The sequence below is a fragment of the Homo sapiens genome, chromosome 2 (assembly GCF_000001405.40).
Source record: "Homo sapiens chromosome 2, GRCh38.p14 Primary Assembly".
NCBI classification, from domain to species: domain Eukaryota; kingdom Metazoa; phylum Chordata; class Mammalia; order Primates; family Hominidae; genus Homo; species Homo sapiens.
The window spans coordinates 224,554,943-224,578,212 of record NC_000002.12 but is presented as its reverse complement, the minus strand read 5'-3'; the positions used below and the strand labels follow the sequence as shown (position 1 = coordinate 224,578,212).

At 37.5% G+C, this 23,270-nt stretch overlaps 1 protein-coding gene across 7 annotated transcripts in view; it reads left to right on the top strand.

Annotated features, from left to right (window-relative positions):
• The window catches only part of CUL3 (cullin 3), a 115,214-nt gene that overhangs the window by 7,151 nt on the left and 84,793 nt on the right, over positions 1-23,270 (top strand). Inside the window, exons 1-2 of one of the 7 annotated variants that reach the window (NM_001257198.2) lie at positions 8,258-8,524; positions 20,357-20,554. The exons of 1 other annotated variant lie outside the window; for it this stretch is intronic. In NM_001257198.2, coding sequence (NP_001244127.1) covers positions 8,441-8,524; positions 20,357-20,554 — 282 coding nt within the window. In that variant the 5' untranslated portion in view covers positions 8,258-8,440. Of the gene's footprint in view, positions 1-8,257; positions 8,525-14,876; positions 15,020-17,734; positions 17,774-20,356; positions 20,555-21,768; positions 21,919-23,270 lie in introns of those variants that run through there. 5 more of the 7 variants (XM_006712800.3, XM_011511995.2, XM_011511996.3 and 2 more) reach the window with 5 other exon arrangements.

Here is a 23,270-nt window from a genome sequence, read left to right as displayed (position 1 = left end):
TTAAAAAAGATTGCAACTATGACTATTTAGACACATAAATATTTGAGTCCATCTATGATTATGGAATTATTGGGCTGCACGTAACTGAAATATATTACCTAATTGACCTCCATAAGGGTAATAATAATAGCTAACACTTTCTAAATGCTTATCATGTACTCTGCATATCTAAACTTAATCATTTGAGCAAACTCTATTGAATACTACTATTATCTGTTCTACAAATGAGGCTTTGAGAGGCTAAATAATTTGCTTAAGGTATTCTTCCAAGTGGCAGAACTAGGATTCTGACCCAAGCAATCTGGCTCTAAAGTGAGCACTCTTAAGAATTAATTATATTTCTCAAGGTTGTATCCGTTTAACTTCTGTGTAGCAGTATCTTACCCAGCATAATGTATGTTTAATTTTATAGGTGAAAAAATAGTACTTTAATGCTTTAATTTGCATTTCTTTGACTACTTAGGAGAATAAAACTATGAATAGTCTGTAGAGAATTTTCATTTACTTTTGCACTGGAGTATTCAACATATGAATATAGGGATGTGACTAAAAAGTAAAGAGACTGAAAGCATAGTAGTTAAGAGTGTGGGCTTGAATACCAGCTCCATGTCTTTCTAGCTGCATCACCTTTTTTTTTTTTTTTGAGACAGAGTCTCCGCTCTGTCACCCAGGCTGGAGTGCAGTGGCGTGATCTCAGCTCAGTGCAAGCTCCACCTCCCGGGTTCACGCCATTCTCCTGCCTCAGCCTCCCTGGTAGCTGGGACTACAGGTGCCTGCCACCACGCCTGGCTAATTTTTTTGTATTTTTAGTAGAGACGGGGTTTCACCGTGTTAGCCAGGATGATCTCGATCTCCTGACCTCGTGATCCGTCTGCCTCATCCTCCTACAGTGCTGGGATTACAGGCGTGAGCCACCGCGCCCGGCCTCTAGCTGCATAACCTTTAACAAGTTACTTCTTGTAGCCTCAGTTTTCCCCTGTGTAAAATGAGACTGCTAATGAGACCCACCTTACAGGTTTGTTGTGTGATAAATAAAATAAAGCTTTAAAATAGAACTTAGCAGATAGTTAACTATTATTATACCAATATTTAGCCACGATTAGGCCAATATTAAAATTGGATGTTGTTTTTGCAAGCAGTTACATCGAATGCCATACACTTATTTTAGCGATCCTGTCATTTTATTGTACAACTTCTAGAACTTAAGTTTTGAAAAGCCTGCAGAGCCAGTTTGTGAATCGTTCTAAGAAAGCATTCTCAAAGGATATGGGTTTAGTACCACTGGGATACTTAAAGAATCCTGTTGGCTCTTGAGGGGTGGCTTCAAAAACAGAAGTTCATATATGATTCACATGTAATCCTTAGAGTAAGTGTGTAACCTCTTGTAACTTTATTGAAGGAATAAACACTCATTTGGTTTGCATGTTCTATAATATGTACGTTAAATGTGCATCTAAAAACACATCTAGTTTTTCTTTTTTCCTTCCTTTCCTCCCTTTCTCCTCCTTCTCCTCCCCCCCCCCCCTTTTTTTTCACTCCTGAACTAGGTTAGGTTGTGGTCCCTGTCCAAAGCTTATGCCAGACATCGTTTTGAACCATGCAGCATTTAGCATAGTGTGAGTGGTTAGTGAATGATTGATTACATGAGAAACTAGTCCTCTAAGCCAAACCATAGTAATTGATAAATTCAGTGAGTCAGCGCAAATGATGCTCTGAAATGTTTGAAGTTTTTGTAACTCTAAGTGAAGTCTTAAGATGTAGTAGAGGGTCGTTAAAGATCATGTGGCACTTCTGTATGTAGCAGGGTAGTCAGCCTAGTCTCCTGGAAAAATGAGTTGAAATTGTCAGTGACCCTGAATTGGGAGTTAGAAGACTTAGTCTGCGGTCCAGTCTTTCTGTTTACTAGCTGTGGTCTACATTTCACTTCCTCCACCATGACTGTTCTTCGCATCTCATCCCTTCCTGTCACACTGTTAAATTGTACACTCTGGTCCCCTATTTCTCAGGCTTATCTTTTTGAATTGAGGTTTCTATTACAGTCCTTGAATTATTGGGCCCAGATGTGGTTTATTGCCACTTCCATCATCATCTTTTTTGGCTTGAGAATTACTCTCCTGCTCTCTCCCTATGACCATCTGACTTCCTGAACTCATGCTCCCTCAGTCATTGAGGAGTTTAATACCTTCCTCACAGATACTATGTTAATACATTCCTCACAGATATTATGTCTAGCCTCTATTTTAATTTTGTTCATTGCATGTGGAAGTCATTCATTTATTCAATTTAAAATACGTTTATTGTGTGTTGCTGCTATGGGTCAGGTCCTGGATCTACAGTGGCGATCAGACAGGCTTGTATTGCAGGGATCTTCACGCTTAGAGCTTGTCATCCTACTAGTTTAAAAATCTTCAAACTTCCATTTTGCATTTTATCCTAGCTCTTCTGTTTGTTAGATGTAGGACTTTGAGCAAATCACTTAGTGTCTTGTCTGTTCCCTCTTTTGCAAAAAGGAAAAAATGATGATACCTACCTCATAAAATTGTTTTAAAGATGGAGTTAATACATATAAAGCTTCTTAGAATAGTGCTTGGCACATAATAAGCATTATACATAAATGCAAGGTGTTATTATTTAATTATTCTATCTTGTTGCTTGGTTCCTTCTCACGTTAATGTGCCCTTTGATCTCAGGAAGACCCATTTATTCTCCCAAGCCATGGTGCTGTCACTTCCACCTATGTTACCAGTTGCCCCTTTCTTACTACCTCCCCAGAACAAGGCCAGAAATAGCAGCAGAAAGCATCTTGGATCGTTCTACCTATTTGCCCCCACTGAACATATTTTCTAGCTACTCCTGGAGAAAATTGCAAGACAGTGGTCTCTAATTTAGCTGGACTCTCAGTGCCTCTGAGCAGTTTCCTTTATGTCCCTGGTCAGCTTCCTCTCCCCTTTCTTGCCTGAGCTATTCCAAACTTTAATCATTGTCCTTAAGCTATCTCTTGAGAATTCTCAAATTGCTCTTACTTCAAGAAACCTAACTACTACATCAGTGTGAAAAGGAATGTAATTAGGTGAAAGTTCGAAGTTCATTCAGCATTCTTCCCTTTCAATTATATTATTTAATCTGCATCTTTATTCATTCTCGACTCCTTCCCTCTGGTCTCAGAGAAGGAAAATGTCTTTTTCCTGTCTTCTGCATTATAGTAACTACCTCCTTTCACAGCCAAGATTCTTGAGAGAGGAGTCTCTATTTCCTTTTTTAGAGCATAATTTTCTTGAGGAGGCCTCAGTCTTTTTTATGACTTTGATCAGTACAGCAGTACGCACCCAGCATATAGTACACAATGTTGAATAAAGGAACTAACAGACTCTTTAAGTTTGTTTCCTCCTCTTTAAGATGAGAACTACAGCAGTCTTTCACAAATTGTGAGGATTAAATGAAATCATGTCAGAAAATGCTAATAGTGGTATCACTATGACATTTAAAAGAATTTCCCAATCATAAAATCAAAATTTTCAACTATAATTCTGTTTCATGTAGGGCAGTTATTTTCAAACGTTTACAGGGAGCCTGGAGGGTGTCTAGGACCCAGGAGGCCTAGGAAGTGTTAAGTAGAAATCTTTGAAAGCTCCCTCTGTGGTCCTTGAGAGCAGCTCCTGTGTTACCATTTGTATATGGGGTTCTGTAAAAGATTTCATTTTAAGAAATGCTGTTAACCATTGCTTTAAAATCACTAGTAATAATTATTAATGAATCTTTTTTAAAGGTGAGGAGAATACTACTTGCTCAACTTGATAACGGTTAATAGGAAATTGAGAACTGATCCTGTAGTTGCCTTAACTCCTAATCCAAATCTGTTGCTACTAGACAGCATTCTTTTTTTTAAATTCAGTTTTAAAGTTGAAAATGTAACTAAGCAAAACTTCCTAATTTGACCTCCATTTAGTACTTGTAATCATTGAGAAAGGATTGGACCCAAATTTACTCTTTAAATGAGAAATGTTACTGCTGAGCAGATGAATAAAACGACTTCAAAGGGGAATTTTTACCTACTTTAAGAAAATATAAGATTCCTTAGAGATACTTTCTTATAAAAGCAAGCCATCATTGCTAAGAGGAATTCCTTCACATATGTGTTTGTAAGTCATTCTTACCTAAAACAGCTCTTAACTGAGCAACACTTAGCCTCTTCTGTTTGCCCTGTCCTCTCCAAAGTAATGGTGAAAAATTCCTTTTTCTTTTTCATCTCCAATTCCTTTCCATTTCCACTAGAGGTTGCCTTGTAAGATTAGTGACAACTTGTTGAATGTCTGACTTGTGGTAGGCTGTTTTAGATACTTTTAACTAATTATCTGAAATCCTGAAAACAATTTTAAGTATAATGTGGTTACTCCTGTTTTAAATCTATTTGGGTCTCAGAGAGGACTAGTAAAATATTTATGATATTACATATACGCCTAGAGAAGGGCAGAGTTGGGATTCAGATTCTAGGTATGTCTGACTGAAAAGTTCATGTTGTTTTCATTATACAGAAAATTAATTCTAAGGTTACCTTTTAAATTATTAGCCAGGGGCAGATCTGGGGACGCTGAAGCTTATACAATGCACTACTCTCTTTACAAAAAGAATCTACCTTCAGGTTCCAGGAGTTGGAAGAAGCCTTCGTAAGCTTCCTTCGTAAGCTTAAGTTTTACTGGCTTTAAGTAAATGGACCATTTATAAAAGTTATGAAAAACTTGGGAAATGTGTATTGTTCAGTAACATTTGAATATATAACTTGTTTAAGGGGACCTTAGTGTGTATTGACTTGAATAAAGCAGTCAAAAGCATAACCTGTAAGAAAGGCTTATTATTACTAGTTGACCTATTTATGAGTTAACACTTTGCTACTTTAAATTGTAAGGCCGACGACACACATTAAAAAAATTTGGTTAATAGAAATTTAAGTATATACTTAGCAAAAAGTGATTCCTTGAAGTTAATATGTCTAAAATACTTTGATTTTTGATTTTTTGTCTTTAAGAATATACTAAAGAGATAGATTAAACAGTAAAATGTATTAGAAATACAAAGATTAAATTCTCTAGTAATAATTTACTACTTTTGGTGTACGCAAATGCAACATGAAAGAAATAATGCTTTTTTGATGAATGCTATCACTAGCCAAATAATAATTTGTGTGCTCTTGTGTTAGTATTTTAATTTTTGAGGGCTAAAAGTGACTCTTGAAATCTTTTTGTGGTGCTATAACAAAATCCTGCAGACTGAGTAATTTATAAAGAACAGAAATGCATTTTCTCACATTTGTGGAGGCTGGGAAGTTCAAGATCAAGGTGCTGCAGGTTCTGCTGTCTGGAGAGGGCTGCTGTCTGCTTCCGACACGATGTCTTGATGCATTGTCCTCTCGGAATTCTTTGGTGGGGACGAATCCTGTATCTGCACATGGCAGAGACAGAAGGGCAAAAAAATAAACTCTCTGTCAGCCTCCTTTATAAGGCCACCTAATCCCATTCACAAGGGTTCTACCCTTATGAGTTAATCACTTCCTGAAGACCCCACCTTTTTTTTTTTTTTTTTTTTTTCTCTCACTCTCACCCAGGCTGGATTGCAGTGGCTTGATCTTGGCTAACTGTAGCCATGCCCTCCAGGGCCTAATGGATTCTTTCACCGCAGCCTCCTGGGTAGCTGGGACGACAGGTGCAGGTCAGCAGCAATTTTTTTTTTTTTTTTTTAAGAGACAGGGTTTCACTGTGTTGCCCAGGCTGGTCTCAAACTACTGGGCTGAAATGATCCACACACTTTGGCTTTCAAAAGTGCAAGGATTACAGGCGTGAGCTGCTGCACCTGCATTGCCGTACCTTTTAATACTGTTAAATTGATGATTAAATTTCAACATGAATTTTGGAGGAGACACAGGCATTCAAACCGTGGCAGAGACTTTTGAGAGAATCTGTTCTTTCTCAACAGATGAGCAAACAGGGGTCTAGAGAAAGTGGTTTACCAAGGGATACACTCCTGACTTGAATTTATGGAAGGACCATGACCAGAAGCTTGATTTCTGGTTAAAAGCTCTTTTCTCTTTAGCAGACTGAAACAAACATGTAGCCGTAATAACTCAATGTTAACACTGGCCTATTTAATTATAAAATGATTTCTCAGTATTGAGCACTCTGATTATTTGAGTTGACATGGTACCCTGGAAGGACACTCAGCTTAGGACACTTGGACTCCTTCATTGCTCTGTGTGATCTTGGATAAGCTTCCTTAGCCTTAGTTTCTTCTTTGTGAAATGAAGAGGTTTTAACTTGGGGTTACCTTAGGCTTATTCTAGCTCCAAAAATTTCAGTAAAAGACAATTGTGTTTATACATAAATCTAGGCACCGACTACTAGTGTCTTTTCCTGTGGCCTTTGTTTGAAATATTTTGTGTGATGTTGCAAAAATTACTTACTTTTTAGTCTTAGATTTTTCTTTATGAATGGTATGGTTCAGTGATGATGGTTAAGTTCTAATGTGAAGCAGTGGGAAAGTTAGCTGTGTTCTTGTGTACATTTTTTTTGGTGAGTTGACAGTTGTAGGAAAGTTTTAAACAGACTTATAGCAGATTTTTGTAACAATTTTGTGTCATAGACCTTTTGCTGTCATATCTTATTTGATTACAGTTAGAATCATTCAAAGACAGAGCAAACTATGGCAGTTCGGTATTTTGTATGTTTTTTTCCTTTCCCTTTGGGTTATGTGTAATTGATTTAGGTACAATCAATTTGTCATTGTCTTACAGTTTATAGAGTTTTTATACATTATCATAGATGAATGTGTAAAAAGTAATTTTATATACATGTGACCCATGTATAAATAAATAGTAGTGTTAAATAGTATAAATAGTAGTGTTTTGGATTTCATAGTATATTGGGAAATACAACAAATTTTATTTTGAAGTGTTGATTTTAGATATAATCACTAATTTTCTTAATATAGAGGGTCTGTAAGTACAATGTTTGAATTCTAGTTATGATGACTACTGTGTTTTTTGGATAAAATGTGTTTAAGGGAGTCCTGTAACATCTCTATTTTTATGGGTGGAAATAGCACCAATAGTAGGACAGTGACAAGCTTTTTACCTCAGTGAGAGTACTTACATTATTGTATCTTATTTGTTGTGGTCATTATCACATTTTGAAATGTTATACATACCTTTTTTTCTATATATGCAAAAGTCATTCACAGAGATATAGTCGAAAGAGTTGTTAGTACTTTTAGCTCAATTGCTCTGTGACTTAAATGGACTTAAATAGGCTAATCTGGAAGCTTGACCTTGTGTCTTTGAAAAAATTGTTTCACATTTCCCACATTCTCAAATTGAGTTTTGGATAGCCTACTCATATTGAGGACTGAAATGCAAATCATAATTGAACCTTCTATTGATGATTTAACTTTCTCATTATGAATGTTACTGTTCTGTAATGTAATGATACTAGAGCCCAATTGAATGTCGATCAGGTTGTGATTTCATGGAATTGTCCCATGCTGCTGTGCTTTTCTAATTGATAATCTTTTTTTTTCTTTTTCCTTGGCATCAGCTCTTTTTTTGGCAGCACTCCCCCACTCCCATCTGTTCTCCACTGTAACCAGAGAAACCAGTTAACCAAACATCAGTAGTTTTTACATTCAGTTTTAAGTCACTAATCAAGGCTATATGTCTCTTCTACATAGGCAAGGAAGAAACAAACATATTTATTGAGCAAGTGCTGTGTGCCAGATGCTTTCACAGACTTTCTTAATTACCCCACAGTCCACCGTCTCACGTTTCTCTGGCCACAAGCAAATGAGGAAAGTGAGCTTTGAAAGGTTAATTTGTTCAAAGTCTGTTTGAATGTGTCCCACTGGGCTGTTTTTCTCAAAGCTTGGATCTTTGGCTACATTTTTGATGGTTGATGTTGCTTAAGGAATAATTGATGGATAAATGGTATTATTGCAGATGTCATAAGTAGTTGTATACTGTTTGGTCATCAAATAAGACTCCTTATCATTAACTGCAAATGGACTGTATTCAGATCATTTTTTTTTAATATTATCTATACATTGTGCCACGCATTGTAAGGGGTACAATAACATAAAGACCTTATCTACTGTGAGGTGCTTACAGTTTGGGAGGGAGCTTCCTTATGTAATTAATAGTTTAGTTGTATCAGATTTAAAAAATACTGCCATTCCTCAGATGCTTGTACCAAAGCTTTTTTTTTTTTTTTTTTTTTTGAGACTGGAGCTTGAAATTAAGATCAAGTATTTTCCCTTGTTTATTTTTTTTCTAGCTGTGTCATTCTGAATTGCCTGGAATTTCAAATTCTCACCCTTTCCCCCACCCACCCTGTTCTAAATTTTTTCTTGTAGAAAATTATTCACAGAGGACTAAAGACTTCTTGTCCTTTGTATGTAGTAGATGTTAAGAATTCACTTCTTTTCATTTAGTTTTAATTTGTCTCATGATGTAGTTCTCTCAGTAATCACAGAACCTTCAAGATGTGTAAGTATATAATAGACTGACATCCTTTCAAATTCAGGCATTTTGAAGGTTATATTTTTTATATCATCTGAAGTAATGTAAATGAAAAGATTTTGCTTTAAAGAAAACAAAGACCATTATAGATTTATTTTTGTTATTGATACTTTTCTGATGGGAAAATTGTAATCCTGGATTGGAGGGAGGTAAGGAGGCAAAGATCACTTTCAAAAATTAAATTCTTGACTTGGTTTTTGAAAGTCTTACTAAACTATAAACATTTAAGAATCCTTAATTATATTTTTCCTTTAAAAAAGCTTTTGTTTCTTTTTCTGCTGAATGAATTTAATTTGCTTGCTGATCATTTTGTAACTTGGCCTTCTTGGGGAAGGGTCCTGTATACATCTGATAATTAGATAGCAAATATTACATGTTTGTGTATATAGATGATAAATGTGTGTGCAGTTTATTTTATTGTTTTGCTGACGCATTAGTTGCTAGATCCCTTAGTGTATTTGCAGTTATTGCAACTTAATCAGTTTATCAATGGGATTAAAGCCCTGCTCAAGTAATTTAGAATGTTACTTTAAAAGAATGTTACTTCTCTTTTAAAAAATATATTAATACATAAAGTTAGAGCCTTTAAATTTTATTGCTCCTGGAATGAAGTATAGCTTAAAGTTTTTATTGTTAACATATTGATGAGGTGAGAGTTGAACATTTAGGCATTTAAAAAATTTTTCAGTAGCAGTTAATGTTGCTTCTGTGTCAGGGATGGGCAAGTGGAAAGATTAAAGCTCATTAGTAACATAATTATTTTGCCAAGGATGTTGACGTGCATTTGATGCCAAGACCCGATCATGTGTATGTATTAATCTGCACTTGAAGCCCATTTCATTTGATATGTAGTTTTTGGACTTATTTGATTTAGGGAAAGATTGTAGCTTATTGATCTGCTTCTGAAGGGCCTATTTCGTCTACCCTTTTTTTCCCAGTTAATATTTATTAGTAAAATTAATGATTAAGCAGCCTTCTGGGTGAGGCCTTTAGGTGAATGGGAAAAATCTGAAAATATTGCTTGATGTAAAATTTAAAAGTGTGTTACTTGTACACTACTTCTGTTAGAAAAAGATTTGATTATTTAAAAATTAGATTAATTGCTGAGGGTAAACACATTCAACCGTTTTCCTGTATCATTGTGCCTTATAAGTAAAAAGTTTGTGTTGTCAAAATTACATTGGTATAACATGGATAAAGTAGTATTCATTCAACAGACATTTGTTTACAACCTTCTGTGTGGCATTGAAGAAAAATGCATAATCTCTTAAGCTCATAGTCTAGTGGAGGAAGATGCATGAACAGATAATTCAGCTACATGGGAGTGTAGTGATGGTTACAAACTGTCACTAGTAGTTATAGACTATCACCACATTCCCATATAAACGAAAATACACTACAGTTTATTTAGTGTATAGTTAAGTAAATACAGTTTACACTATAAAATATCACGGAAGAACTGAGAAGGAGTTGTTAACTTTGCTTGAGGAGTTCAGTGAAGGATTCCTAGAGGTTATGACACCTAGCTGTGTTCAGAAGATATGTGTAAAGAATCAGATAAAGAAAAGGCAAAGCAAAGGAGGACCAAAAGCAGGGGGGAAAAAAGACATGGGAACTGAAATAAGTGGGGAGGGGCTGTGACAGTGATGGAAATAGAGTGAGAAACAGCAAGTTGTATATTTAAGAATTCCCATTGGTTTAATGTTGTTGGGAAATACATGTCAGACAGGTGTGGATAAGTGAGCATAAACTAGGTCTGTGCCTACTATGCTACCATAGAAAGGTTTTGAACAGGGTCATGGTGTGCCTATGTTTATTTTGATTGTGATTTTGAGGGAAGTAGATTCCATGAGGTTGGAGTTCATAGTGTTTGGAAGGCTCTTGCAGTGAACTAGGTGAAAGGTTTTTTTTTTTTTGAGACAGAGTCTCACTCTGTTGCCCAGGCTGGAGTGCAGTGGCACAATCTCGGCTTACTGCAACCTCTGCCTCCTGGGTTCACGCCATTCTCCTGCCTCAGCCTCCCGAGTAGCTGGGACGACAGGCGCCCACCACCACACCCGGCTAATTTTTTTGTATTTTTAGTAGGGATGGGGTTTCACCGTGTTAGCCAGGATGATCTGGATCTCCTGGCTTGGTGATCCGCCCACCTCTTCCTCCCAAGGTGCTGGGATTACAGGCGTGAGCCACCGTGCCCGGCCGAAGCCTAGAAGTTTTAACACCACCCTGGGCAACAAAGCAAGACCCCCATCTCTACAAAAAAAATTAAAAATATTAGCCACGCATGGTGGCACACAACGGTAGTCCCAGCTGCTCAGGAGGCTGAGACGGAAGGATCCCTTGAACCTGGGAGTTTGAGGCGGCAGTGAGCTATGATTGCACCTCTGCACTCCAGCCTTGGTGACAGAAGAAGACCCTGTCTAAAACAAAAACGAAAACAAAGAGAAAAACACCTTGTGACTAATCATCTTCGTGTGAGCAGTTTCTCTCTGTAGTGTAGTAAAAAGTTTTCTTTTGCGGTTTTCACATATTTTTCATTATGTTTAGTGGAAAACTGTAAACCTGGAATAACACGATGGAACCCATTCGACGTGCCCCCAGTGAACCTGGAAGTGCTCCCAAAAAGCAGAGAAAAGTCATGACGTTACAAGAAATTGTTGAATTGCTTGATGTGTACTAGATTAAGTTCTGCAGCTGTGGTTACCTGCCATTTCAAGGTAAATGAAGCCAGGACCATTGTTAAAAGGAAGTTTGTGAAGCCATCGCTACACCTGTGCCAGCTGGTGCAAAAACCTTGTGCTTTTTGCAAAATACTTTTTTATCTCATATTGAATATGCAGCTTGTATGTGGGTGCAGGATTGCTGTAAGAAAAGTATACCTACTGATTCTAATATGATTTAAGAAAAGCAAAGTCATTATATGACAAAGTCAAAGGAAGGTGAAGGATCTAAAGCTGGAGAATATAATGCCAGCAAAGGATGGTTTGATACTTTTAGAAAGAAGTTTGGCTTAAAAAATGTCAAGGTAATAGGAGAAGCAGCTTCTGCCATTGAAGAGGCAGCAGACAAGTTCCCAGACACCATCAAGAAAATCATTGGAGACAAAGGATCTGTCTAAACAGGTTTTTGATGTAGACAAAAGTGCCCTATTCTGGAAAAAAGTGCCACAAAGGATATTGACTAGTAAAGGAGAGAAGCACATACTAGGGTGTACAAGGCAGGAAGGGATAAGCTAACTCTGCTGTTCTGTGCAAGTGCAGTCAGGTTTTTGATCATGGCTGACTTTATCTATAAATCTACTAACCCCTGAGCCTTGAAGAGAAAAGATAAACACTAGCTGCCAGTCTTTTGGTTGTTCAAAAAGGCCTGGCCTGGACAGTGAGAACTCTTTTTCCGGATTGGTTCCATCAGTGCTTTGTCCCTGACGTCAGGAAGTACCTTGTCAGTAAGGGATTGCCTTTTAGTATTTTTTCTACTGGACAATGCACCTAGCCACCCAGAATCTCATGAGTTCTTCAAAACTGAAGGTGTTGAAGTGGTATCCTTGACCTTAAAGTGTTTTTAATTCAGCCTGTAGATGGGGAAGGTGGGGGGTCAATAAGGACCTTTAAGGCTCTTTAAACGCAGCAGTAGTAATCTATGGAAAAGATTGTCATTGCTATGGAAGAGAACCTCAATAGAGGGAACATGATGAAAGTCTGGAAGGGTTACACCATTGAAGATGCCATCATTGTTAAAAAGCCATAAAAGCCATCTAGCCTGAAATGATACATTATTGCTGTAGAAAACTGTGTCCAGATGTTGTACATGACTTCCCAAGATTTACAACAGAGCCAGTCAGAATCACGAAAGACTGTGGTAAAGTGAGGAGTGAAGGGTTTCAGGATATGGATCTTGAAGAAATTCAAGAGCTAATGGACATCACACCGGAAGATGACTTGATGGAGATGAGCGCTTCTGAACCAGTGACAGATGATGAGGAAGATGTAGAAGAAGCAGTGCCAAAAACCAAGTTGACATTAGAGAATCTGGCAGGAGGTTTCTGATACTCAAGAATGCTTTGACTTTTACGACATGGACTGTTTTATGATGTGGGCACTGAAACTTAAAACAAACAGTGGCAAAAGATTTGGGAACAGATAGAAACATTTTTAGAGGAATGAAAAAGCAGAAAAGTCAGGCAAATTACAATGTGTTTTTGTGAAGTTACAGAGTATGGCTCCCTCTCCTGCCTCCCTTTCTACCTCTCCCTCCTCCATCTCTTGTGCCTGTGCCACCCCTAAGACACCAACTACTTCTCTTCCTCCTACACCTCAGCCTACTGAATGTGAAGACCAGAAGGATGGGGACCTTTATGACAATCCACTTCCACTTATTGAATACCAAATACATTTTCTTTTTCTTACAATGTTCTTAATATTTTTTCTCTTTATTCTAAGAATACGGTGTGTAATACATGTAACATACAAAACAGGTGTTAATAGACTGTTTATGTTATTGGTAAAGCTTTGGGTCGACAGTAAGCTATTAGTAGTTGGGGGACTTAAAAGTTATACACAGTATTTTGACTGCTCAGGAGGTCAGTTTTTCCTAACTCTCACATGGTTCAGTGGTCAGCTGTATTCGGGATGAAAAAATGGGAACATATTTGAGAAATACCTTGGGGTTAATGTCAGTAGTACTTGATGATTGGATAAGAAGGAGATGAGAGATAAGAAAAAATATAAGGCTTATGTTTCTAGCTTGTATAATTAGGTAGTTTATATTGCCACAACTGAATTAGAGATTACAGGAAGAAGGTTTGGGCAGGTTTGGATGGTGAGTTGTCAGGGATTTTTGACATGATAAGTTTGATCTGTGTCTGGAGCTTTTGATTGGAGATGTGTAGCAGGTGGTTGAAACAAGAGTTTTAGACTTTGTGGGGAAGATCTGGGCAGGCAGTATAGATTTGGGAGCCACTAATGTAAATGCCAGTACAGAAGTCCCCACCCCATCCACAGGGAATCTGTTTATTCCAAGACCCCCAGTGGATACTTGAAACCATATAGCCCTGAGCCCTATATGTACTGTTTTTTCCTATGACGTTTAATTTACAATTTAGAAACAATAAGAGATTAGCAACAACAATAATAAAGTAAAACAATTATAACTATATTGTAATAAAAGAACATGAATGTGGTCTCTCAAAATATCTTGTACTGTACTTAACCCTTGTGATGGTATGAGATGATACACTGCCTATGTGATGAGATGAAGTAAGGTGAATGATAGTGGCCATACTTCTGTAGTTTTGAGTTGCGACAGCAAAACTAGTGCAGATTCTTTTTCCTTCTCCACAGTTTCGTGGATAGAAGAAGATGTGTTCTTTTCTTTTCTGAGACAGAGTCTTGCTCTGTTGCCCAGGCTGGAGTACAGTGCCACAATGTCAGCTCAGTGCAGCCTCCACCTGGGTTCAAGTGATTCTTGTGCCCTAGCCTCCCAAGTAGCTGAGATTACAGGTGTGTGCCACTGCACTCATCTAATTTTTATATTTTTAGTAGAGATGGAGTTTCATCATGTTGGCCAGGCTGGTCTTGAACTTGTGGCCTCAAGTGAACTGTCCACCTGGGCCTCCCAAAGTGCTGGGATTACAGGTGTGAGCCACCACCCTGGCGAGAAGATTTATTCTTAACATAGATCTTAGCAATCTCAGCATACCTTTTTTTTTCCTTATTAAGTAGAGAACTTTCACCTTTTCACTTAAAGGAAGCACTTTATTGCTTCTCTTTGGCATTTCTGAATTGTCAGCATCACTACTTTTGTGGTTTGGGGACAGTATTAAGTAAGATAAACATTGCCTGGACATAAGCATTGTGATTTTGATCTGATAAACCAGATGGCTGTTAAGTTACCAAGTTTTTAATGGGTGTGGGGTGTGTAACATAGTGTGGAAATGCTGGACAAAGATGTAATTCAGGATTCACATCCTGAGTGGGATGGCATGAGATTTCATCATACTACATAAAATGGCATGCAATTTAAAGTTTATGAATTGATATTTCTGGAATTTTTTATTTAATATTTTCAGGCAGTGGTTGGTTGCTAGTAACTTAAACCAAGGAAGGTGAAACTGTAGATAGGAGGACTGTTGTAGTTTATCTTCTTTAAGATATGGACAAACTTAGGAAATCTGATAGAAATTAGGGACCTACTCTCCAGAAAAGAAGTGCACACACAGTATACTTGGAAAGTTTTGTTTATTGTTTTAGGAACCTCTGGAATCCCTCTTAAGTTTTAGAACCCTGCATGTACGGATAATAGATGTAACCATGACAATGAATGAAAATACATAGAGACCCAGTAGAGAGTGACAAGAGCCAAGGACAGAGTTCTCAGGGTGAAAATGATTTAAATGGCTCTGGAAAAGTAGTATACAAGAGATGTAGGGGAATAATGTTTTCTAAAAGAAAGCTACGTTATACTGAGGTGCATTTATCATAGTGTTATTCTTAAGGTGCCTTTGTTTTAGCTCATATCTGTATATTTGCTAAGCTTGAAAAAGCTATATTTCTTTCTGACATTTATTTGATGACTGTCGATGAGCGTTCAAGAGATTCTATCATTGGGCACTTTCCTTTGTTGATGCATGAGGGATTATACTGTGCTCTGGGCTGTGTTAAATCTACTGACGTTCTCATTTAATCTTCATGACAGCCCTTTGAGATAGATGCTGTTATTGAACCCAGGACTTAATTTTCTCAAGGTCACATGGCTTGTGAGTAACAAAGCTGTGGCACAAACCTAAGGCTGTCTGACAGCAAAACCCATGTTCTCTACCAGTATACTAACTATGTTTACCAAGATAATCAGTGACTGTGATGTTACTTTACCATATTAGCACAATGGAATGTGACATTAGTCCACTGATTTGGACTAGGTTTTGGGATATATAAGTTCTAATCCCAGCTCTATGATTTTGGGTAAGTCATTTAATCTCTCTGGGTCTATTTTTCATTGTCGTCGTCTTTTTTTTTTTTTTTTTGAGACAAAGTCTTGCTCTGTTGCCTAGGCTGGAGTGGGCTGGCGCGATCTCGCCTTACTTCAGCCTCTACCTCCCGGGTTCAAGCGATTTTCCTGCCTTAGCTTCCCCTGTAGCTGGGATTACAGGCACGCACCACCACATCCGGCTATTTTTTGTATTTTTAGTAGGGATGGGGTTTCACCATGTTGGCTAGGCTGGTCTCGAACTCCCAACCTCAAGTGATCTGTCCACCTTGGCTTCCCAAAGTGGTGGGATTACAGGCGGGAGCCACTGTGCCTGGCTCTTCTTCTCATTTGTTAGAAAAATTTTTAACCTTAGCTATCACCAGAAGGAACATTTTTTCCTGCAGCCCCATCTTTTATCTATCAATAAGGCATTAATTTAAAAAGAAAAAAAAAACGCACTACATACAACCTTGTGTAGTAAAACAGCTCTTGATGTATATATGTGAAAATGGTTATGTTATAATAATGTGAGAGTACTTTTACAATGTTTGAAGCCTCTTGGTTTTATAGTTTTAAAATTCTTCAGCTTCTAGTAGAAAAATTTAGTAATTTACTCTGGGTAGAGACATTTTAATACTTTTTCTGGCTTTCAGAGGATCTTAGGTTATAGAGCCTGTAAAGATGATTTGATGTTTTGCTCAGCTATTAGCAGTATAGGTATCTTTGAGGCTTATAGTTGACATTAACTTTTCTCTTTTTTGAAATTGTTCTGAGTATTTTGCTTTATCTATTTGTTACTCAATGTCAAGAGATAGTGTCTTAGTTTGCTTTATTAGAACCTCAGCATATGTAGTCAACAAACTAAAACCACATTGCACGTACGTAGCTATGGTATTTGAGGCCATCATTATTACATGGCCTTGAATCTTCTGTTTGTGAAAAGTTAGCCGCATCAGTACATTTTATATGGATGACATCCTATCAGGATATCTGATTAAAAAGAGGTAGCAGTATAGGTGTAGGGGTAAATTCTTTTACAGTCATTTGATAAAAGTCTCTGACAGACTTAGGTCTTGGATAGGATTTCGGTAAAAGAAAAGAAATTGTTCTGTTAAAGTTCCTTCTCAAGCTCTTCAGAAAAGATCAGAATAACAAGATTCAGTTTGAGTCATTTGCTTAAGGATCGTCTTGATTGAGAGTTGAGCTGGTATTTTACTGCCAGGGTGACTAAAATAACTATTTTGCCTACTCCTTCCTCTTTTCACATTCATACACATCAGACGTGACTTGGAGAGGATTCCACTAACTCAGTAATTTTTATCCAGTTCAGATCAGAAGTTTGTGTGAAGCTGATCAATGTTGCTTAGGTTGTAAATGCAGAACTTGGAGATTTTATGTGGCATTTACAAAGGGGTCATTAGTCATATATTAGCAGAAAATCAGTCACCGAAGTATGAATCCTTGTTATGTGCCATATACTGTTTTAGAGGCTGAGGAATTTGGCAGTGAAAAAAAGATCCCTGCCTTCATGAAGCTGACATTTGGTTGTAGAGAGGGAGACCAGGAAAATAATGAAGAATGTGGGTTGGAGTTGGGGATCAGTAGTGAGGTGAGGCTGTTACTGTAAATAAGGTGGGCATTTAAAACTTCACTGTAAGATGACAGTTGAGTAGAGGTTTGAGCCATGCAGGAAACTGAGGGAAGAACATTTCAGACAGAAAGAATAGCAAATACGAAGACACTGAAATCAGCTTGTTTGATGTATGCCAGGGAGTGCATGGAGCAGAGCGAACAAAAGGAAAAAATGGATGAAGTTGAGAGATTATCAGATCGAATAAAGCTTATAGAACATTGTAAGGACTTTGACTTCAACTCCAGGGGAAATGAGAACTCATTTGAGAGTTGTGAGCAAATGAGTGACATGATTTGATTTATGCTTTTACATGGTCACCCTGGTTGCCTGATGATAGCAGGCCAGGAGTGGAGATGGAGACCAGTTGGAGGTGGTGGTGGTTTTACCAGGATAGTAGCAGTGGAAGTGGTGAGAAAGAGTTGAATTCTGGGGATACATTTTGAAGTTAGAGACAACAGCATTTTCTGTTGGAGTAGTAGTGGGGTCAGAGAGTAGTTAATTATGATCACAAGCATTTTGGCCGGAGCAGCTGGAAGGATGGAGTGGACATTTGTTCAGCTGGAAAAGACTTCAGGGGAAACCAACTGAGGGAAAAGATGAGGAGTTCTGTTTCAGGCTTGGTAAGTTTGAGATGCCTACTACGCATTAAAGTGGAAACATTGAGTAGGTAGCTGGATATATGACTCTGGCATGTACAGAGGGGGCCAGAGAATGTATCAATTTTAAGATTGATTTAAAACCATGAGAATAGATCAACTCCACCTAGAAAATGAGTGTGACTAAAAAAAAACAAAAAACAAAAACTGAGTGTGGCTAGATAAGAAATCGAGAACTTGAGCTTTAGGATTGGAGGTTTAGGTGATAATTAAGAGCCAGTAAAACAGATGAATAGGAGACAGAAGTAGAAGAAAAACAAGAGATTGTAGTGCTTGGAAGTTAAGTGAGGAATTTGTTTCTTTTTTTTCTTCTTCTTTTTTGAGACAGGGTCTTGCTCTGTCATCCAGGCTGGTGTGTAGTGGCGCAGTCTCCACTCACTGCAGCCTCGACCTCCCGGGCTCAAGCGATCCTCCCGCCTCAGCCCCACTAAGGAGCTGGGACTACAGGTGCATGCCACCATGCCCGACTAATTTTTGTATTTTTAGTAGAGATGGGTTTTTGCCATATTGCCCAACCTGGTCTTGAAACCCTGGACTCAAGTGATCCTCCCGCTTTGACTTTCCAAAGTGCTGGGATTATGGGTGTGAGGCACCATGCCTTGCCAAATTTGTTTCAAGGAGTAGGAGTGATCAGCTCTTTCAAATGCTGCTGGATAGGTAAGTAAGAGGAGAACTGAGACTTTGCCCATTAGATTTTGGCAATATAGAAGTCACTGGTGGCCTTCTCAAGAGTAGTTGCAGTGAAATGGTAGAGATGAAAGCCCTACTGGAGTAGATTCAAGATATAATGGAAAGATGGAACTTGGAGACAGTGCATGTACAATCTCCTCTTCTTGCCTGTGATTTTGCCATAAATGGAAAGAGAGATTAGATGGTGCTGAAGGAATATATGGGTTTGTGAGGATTTGTTTTTGACATAGGAAACTGACATTTTTTTTTTTTTTTTTTTTTGAGACACAATCTTGCTCTGTCACCTAGGCTGGAGTGCAGTGTTGTGATCTTGGATCCCTGCAAACTCTGCCTCCGGGCTCAAGTGATTCTCCTCCCTCAGCCTCCCGGGTAGCTGGGACTATAGGCATGCGCCACCACGCTCAGCTAATTCTTAAAAAATTTTTTTGTAGAGACAGGGTCTCACTGTATTGCCCAGGCTGGTCTCAAACTCCTAAGCTCCAGTGATCCTTCTGCCTCAGTCTCCCAAAATGCTAGGTAGGATTACAGGCATGAGCCAGTCCATGTGGTGAAACTGACAGTTTTCAGTATGAATGGAAATTATCTACCAGAGGAAAAATTTTGATGATGCTTAGATGTGTGATTACTAAGGGGAGGAGTTTTCTTTCTTTTTTTTTTTGAGACAGAGTCTTGCTCTGTTGCCCAGGCTGGAGTGCAGTGGCGGGATCTTGGCTCACTGCAAGCTCTGCCTCCCGGGCTCACACCATTCTCCTGCCACAGCCTCCCAAGTAGCTGGGACTACAGGCGCCCACCACCACGCCTGGCTAATCTTTTTTTTGTATATTTAGTATATTTTTTGTATATTTAGTAGAGACCGTATTAGCCAGGATGGTCTCGATCTCCTGACCTCATGATCCGCCCGCCTCGGCCTCCCATAGTGCTGGGATTCCAGACGTGAGCCACTGCGCCCAGCCAAGGGAGGCCTTTTCAATAGGTGGTTTGGCATAGAACTAGAGATTTACTTGTCAAATTTCATTCTGTATAATATTACATTGGGTTCTTGTTAAAATGTCGATTCTGTTTCTGTAGGTCTGGAGTAGGGCCCGAAATTCTGCACTTCTAACAAGTTCCTAGGTGTTGCTTATGTGTCTGGTCCTTATGCTATACTTCGAGTACAATAACTTGGCACTTTGAGCACAAGAACCTAGCAGGTTTTATTGGCATAAAATCAGGTCGGTTGGTGTGTGAATATGATGGGAATTTGTATAGTGTCTCATCGGGTTGTTTTTATTTTCTCAGTGGAATAGGAAGCAGTCATAATCATAGAGTGAGGATGGAGGAGGTGGTATAAAATCATCTAGAAGAGTAGAGTGAGTAGACTGACTAGTGGAATTGTGGGGTTGCATGAAGGCTGCACTTAACGTTAGTGGTTATGAATTTAAACTCAGATGGACCAAAAATATGGGCATATGTTATTCTTTGTTTTCTTTCAGCTATACGGATATATGTCAGGAGTATGTGGGCTGTTGGGATTTAACTTGGCAAGTATTTTGGTGGGAGAGAGATAAGGGGTAAGTGACTTACGGGTATATAAATCATTATGATTTTATTTAAAGTGAAGAGTTCTGCTCCAGGTAAGATTGGAGGGAGGTCTTAAAAGATGAGAAAGTGCTTCTAACAGATCTAGAACCTATTTTTAAATGTATCCTTTTTTTCCCCCTGTTAAAATAGGTTGTTAATGTTCTTATGTGTCATAGATTTATAATCATATCTATATAATACAATATTTACTATATATGGACAAATATAGAAAGACTTTCAACCATTGGTTTTTTTTTTTTTTTTTTTTTTGTCTCTTCTCTCTCTTGGATATTACAGATGACCATGGATGAAAAATATGTAAACAGCATTTGGGACCTTCTGAAAAATGCAATTCAAGAAATCCAGCGTAAGAATAACAGTGGTCTTAGTTTTGAGGAGCTCTATAGAAATGCATATACAATGGTTTTGCATAAACATGGAGAAAAGCTCTACACTGGACTAAGAGAAGTTGTTACCGAACATCTCATAAATAAGGTATCAAACTTTAAAGGACTGTTGCTAATACTATATTGAATGTAGAAAATCCTTTATACCATATTGCACTTTGACCGGAAGTGTTCTTTTTAAAGGTGCCAGAAGCCTATAGAAATTACTAATTCGTGACTGTTAATAAGCACTCATGAAAAATTTATAATCAGCTAAATCGAAAATTTGGATATTTGAGAGATGAAGTTTGTGAGCTATAATAAATGCTTTCTTTAAATCATAATGAAGCAAACTCAGTAATTCACAAATGCTTATTAATATGTTAATTACAAGGAATTTTTTTCCTTAAAATGATTTAATCAGCCCATTTTTACTTTCTCATTTTTCTGTATATTTGAAAACAATAAAACTACGTTGTTTAAAATATATTTCTAAGATGGATCACTAACTAAAATTGACTTTATTTTAACTGAGTTCTGTGGTACATTTGAATTTTTTTTAAAGATAAATTATTGTTGGGCTGTTCACATTATTAAAAATGGTTCTCTGATTTCAGAAAGATGTATTTTTTTAGAACAAATGTTTTTATAGAGTGAACTCTTCCAATGCATGTAAAATGTAATTTCATTTAGAAAATAAATTTTATTACAATGCCTTGCTTTAAGATTGTCAAATAAAATGTGAAATACCACACAGACTGATAAAAACTTCTCATAGTCTTTATGTGGTATTGGGGTATTTATTTTTTAAGTTTTATTTTGAAAAAAAAGTTTCATGAATAGCACGATGTGAACTCTTGTGTACCCTTCACCTAGATTCACCAGTTGTTTACATTTTGCTACATTTTTTTTGCCAGTTTTTCTATTGATATGTGTTATAATTACTGTTACCAATATTATTATTGCTGAACCATTAGAGAGTAAGTTTTAGATTTCATCTACCCCAAAAGACTTTGCAACATTTCTTTTAAGAATAAAGAAATCTTACTTAACCAAAGAACAATGATCAAAATCAGGCAGTTTAACAATATAATACTGTTGCCTAATACATTCCTTATTCAGATTTCACCAATTGTCCTGTTTAGTGGTGATTTCCTTTATAGCAATTTGTTTTCTGATCCAGGATCCAGTCCAGGATCTCATGTTCAGTTCCTCAGCCTTTCTTTGTCTTTCAGCACATTGACATATTTGAAGAGTATAGGTCAGTTGTTTTGTAGATTATCCCTCAGTTTTTGGTGTGTCTGATTGTTTCCTCATGACTAGTTTCAGGTTATGCATTTTTGGCAGGAATAATACATAAGTGATGTTGTGTCCTCAGTGCATCACATCAGGAGGCACTTGATGTCAGTTTATCCCATTATTGGTGATGTTAACTTTGATCATTGGTGTCCGCCAGATTTCTCCACTGTAAAGGTACCTTTTTTCCCTTTGTAATTCATAAGTAATCTGTTCAGATATATTTTGACACTGTATGAATATCCTGTTCCCTAGAAACTTTCATGTGATGGTTTTAGCATCCATTGATGATTCTTGCATGAATCATTATTACTATGGTGGTTCCAGAACAGTAATTTTCTATTTCTGCTCTTTCTTCTGTAATTTCTTTCTCTTAAAGGGAATTACATGAGCCACGCAGTTAGTATCTTATGAAGCAAGGTGATTGTGTTTTTCACACAATCAGCAGTTTTTTATTAAGTGCCTATTATGCACAGCTTTCAGTCATAATGTAGTGGATGCAAAGAGATAAGATACTATCCTTTCCTGGGGTTTTTATTGTGATGTGAGAGATGGATGATACACACATTTAGATAACCGTGTGAGGCATTATATAATTAAGTGGCAAGTGAGTTGCATAGGCAATAAATGGCTTAAGAATTCAAACGGAGGAGAGGTTGCCTTGGGATGTAAGATTTTATGGGAAAGAATGAAATTGAATTGAGCCTTGAAAAATATTTGGGATATATATGAACAGTGTGGTGGAAGGCATTCCATGATGGCAGATGTTGTGAAATTATATAGAGATGAACTGGTTGGTTAAACTTAGGTGGTAAGTAGAGTTTGACTGAGGCATATAATAATTACAGGGATTAGTGGATTGTAGTGTTACAAAGATGGTTTGGGAACAGATTGTAGAAAAATTTGGGTGCCAGACTAAGTAATTTGGACTAAACTGTAGACAGTTATTGGAGGTTTTTAAGTGGGTGAAAATGTGACAGAATATTTGAAGATGTGATTTTAAGTGGGTGATTATGTGGCAGCATATTATGAGGATGCTATAAATGTAAAATTGAGAGGAGGTTTATAAAATCAGGAGAAGACCTGGAAAGATCTGGGTAAAGTGATAGGCTAGAAATGAATGGATGATGTCAGAAATTCTAAACTTAAGTCTAGACAAAGATTGCTTACTGGGAGAATTATAGTGCCACCAATTGCAAATACTGTGAAGTAATAGTGGGAAACTGATTTGAAATGGGTAGAGAATATGATAAGTTTTGTTTAGATTATATTGAAAATGTTTATCCTTGGAAGATACCTTAGAAATCATTTTGCATGTGAGGAAAATTGAGTGTGAGATCATAGTAAGATGCCCAAGTAGAGATATCGTATGTTTGGAGACACATAGATTTAGAGCTTGGGCAGGAACTCAAAATTAGATGTGGAGATTTGGCATTTGGTAACGTATACTGAGGAACAAGTGTTGGAGTTCAGAAAATGAAGAGCCCAGAGCCAAGGGATGAATCTTAGGAGCAAACTATAGTAAGTAG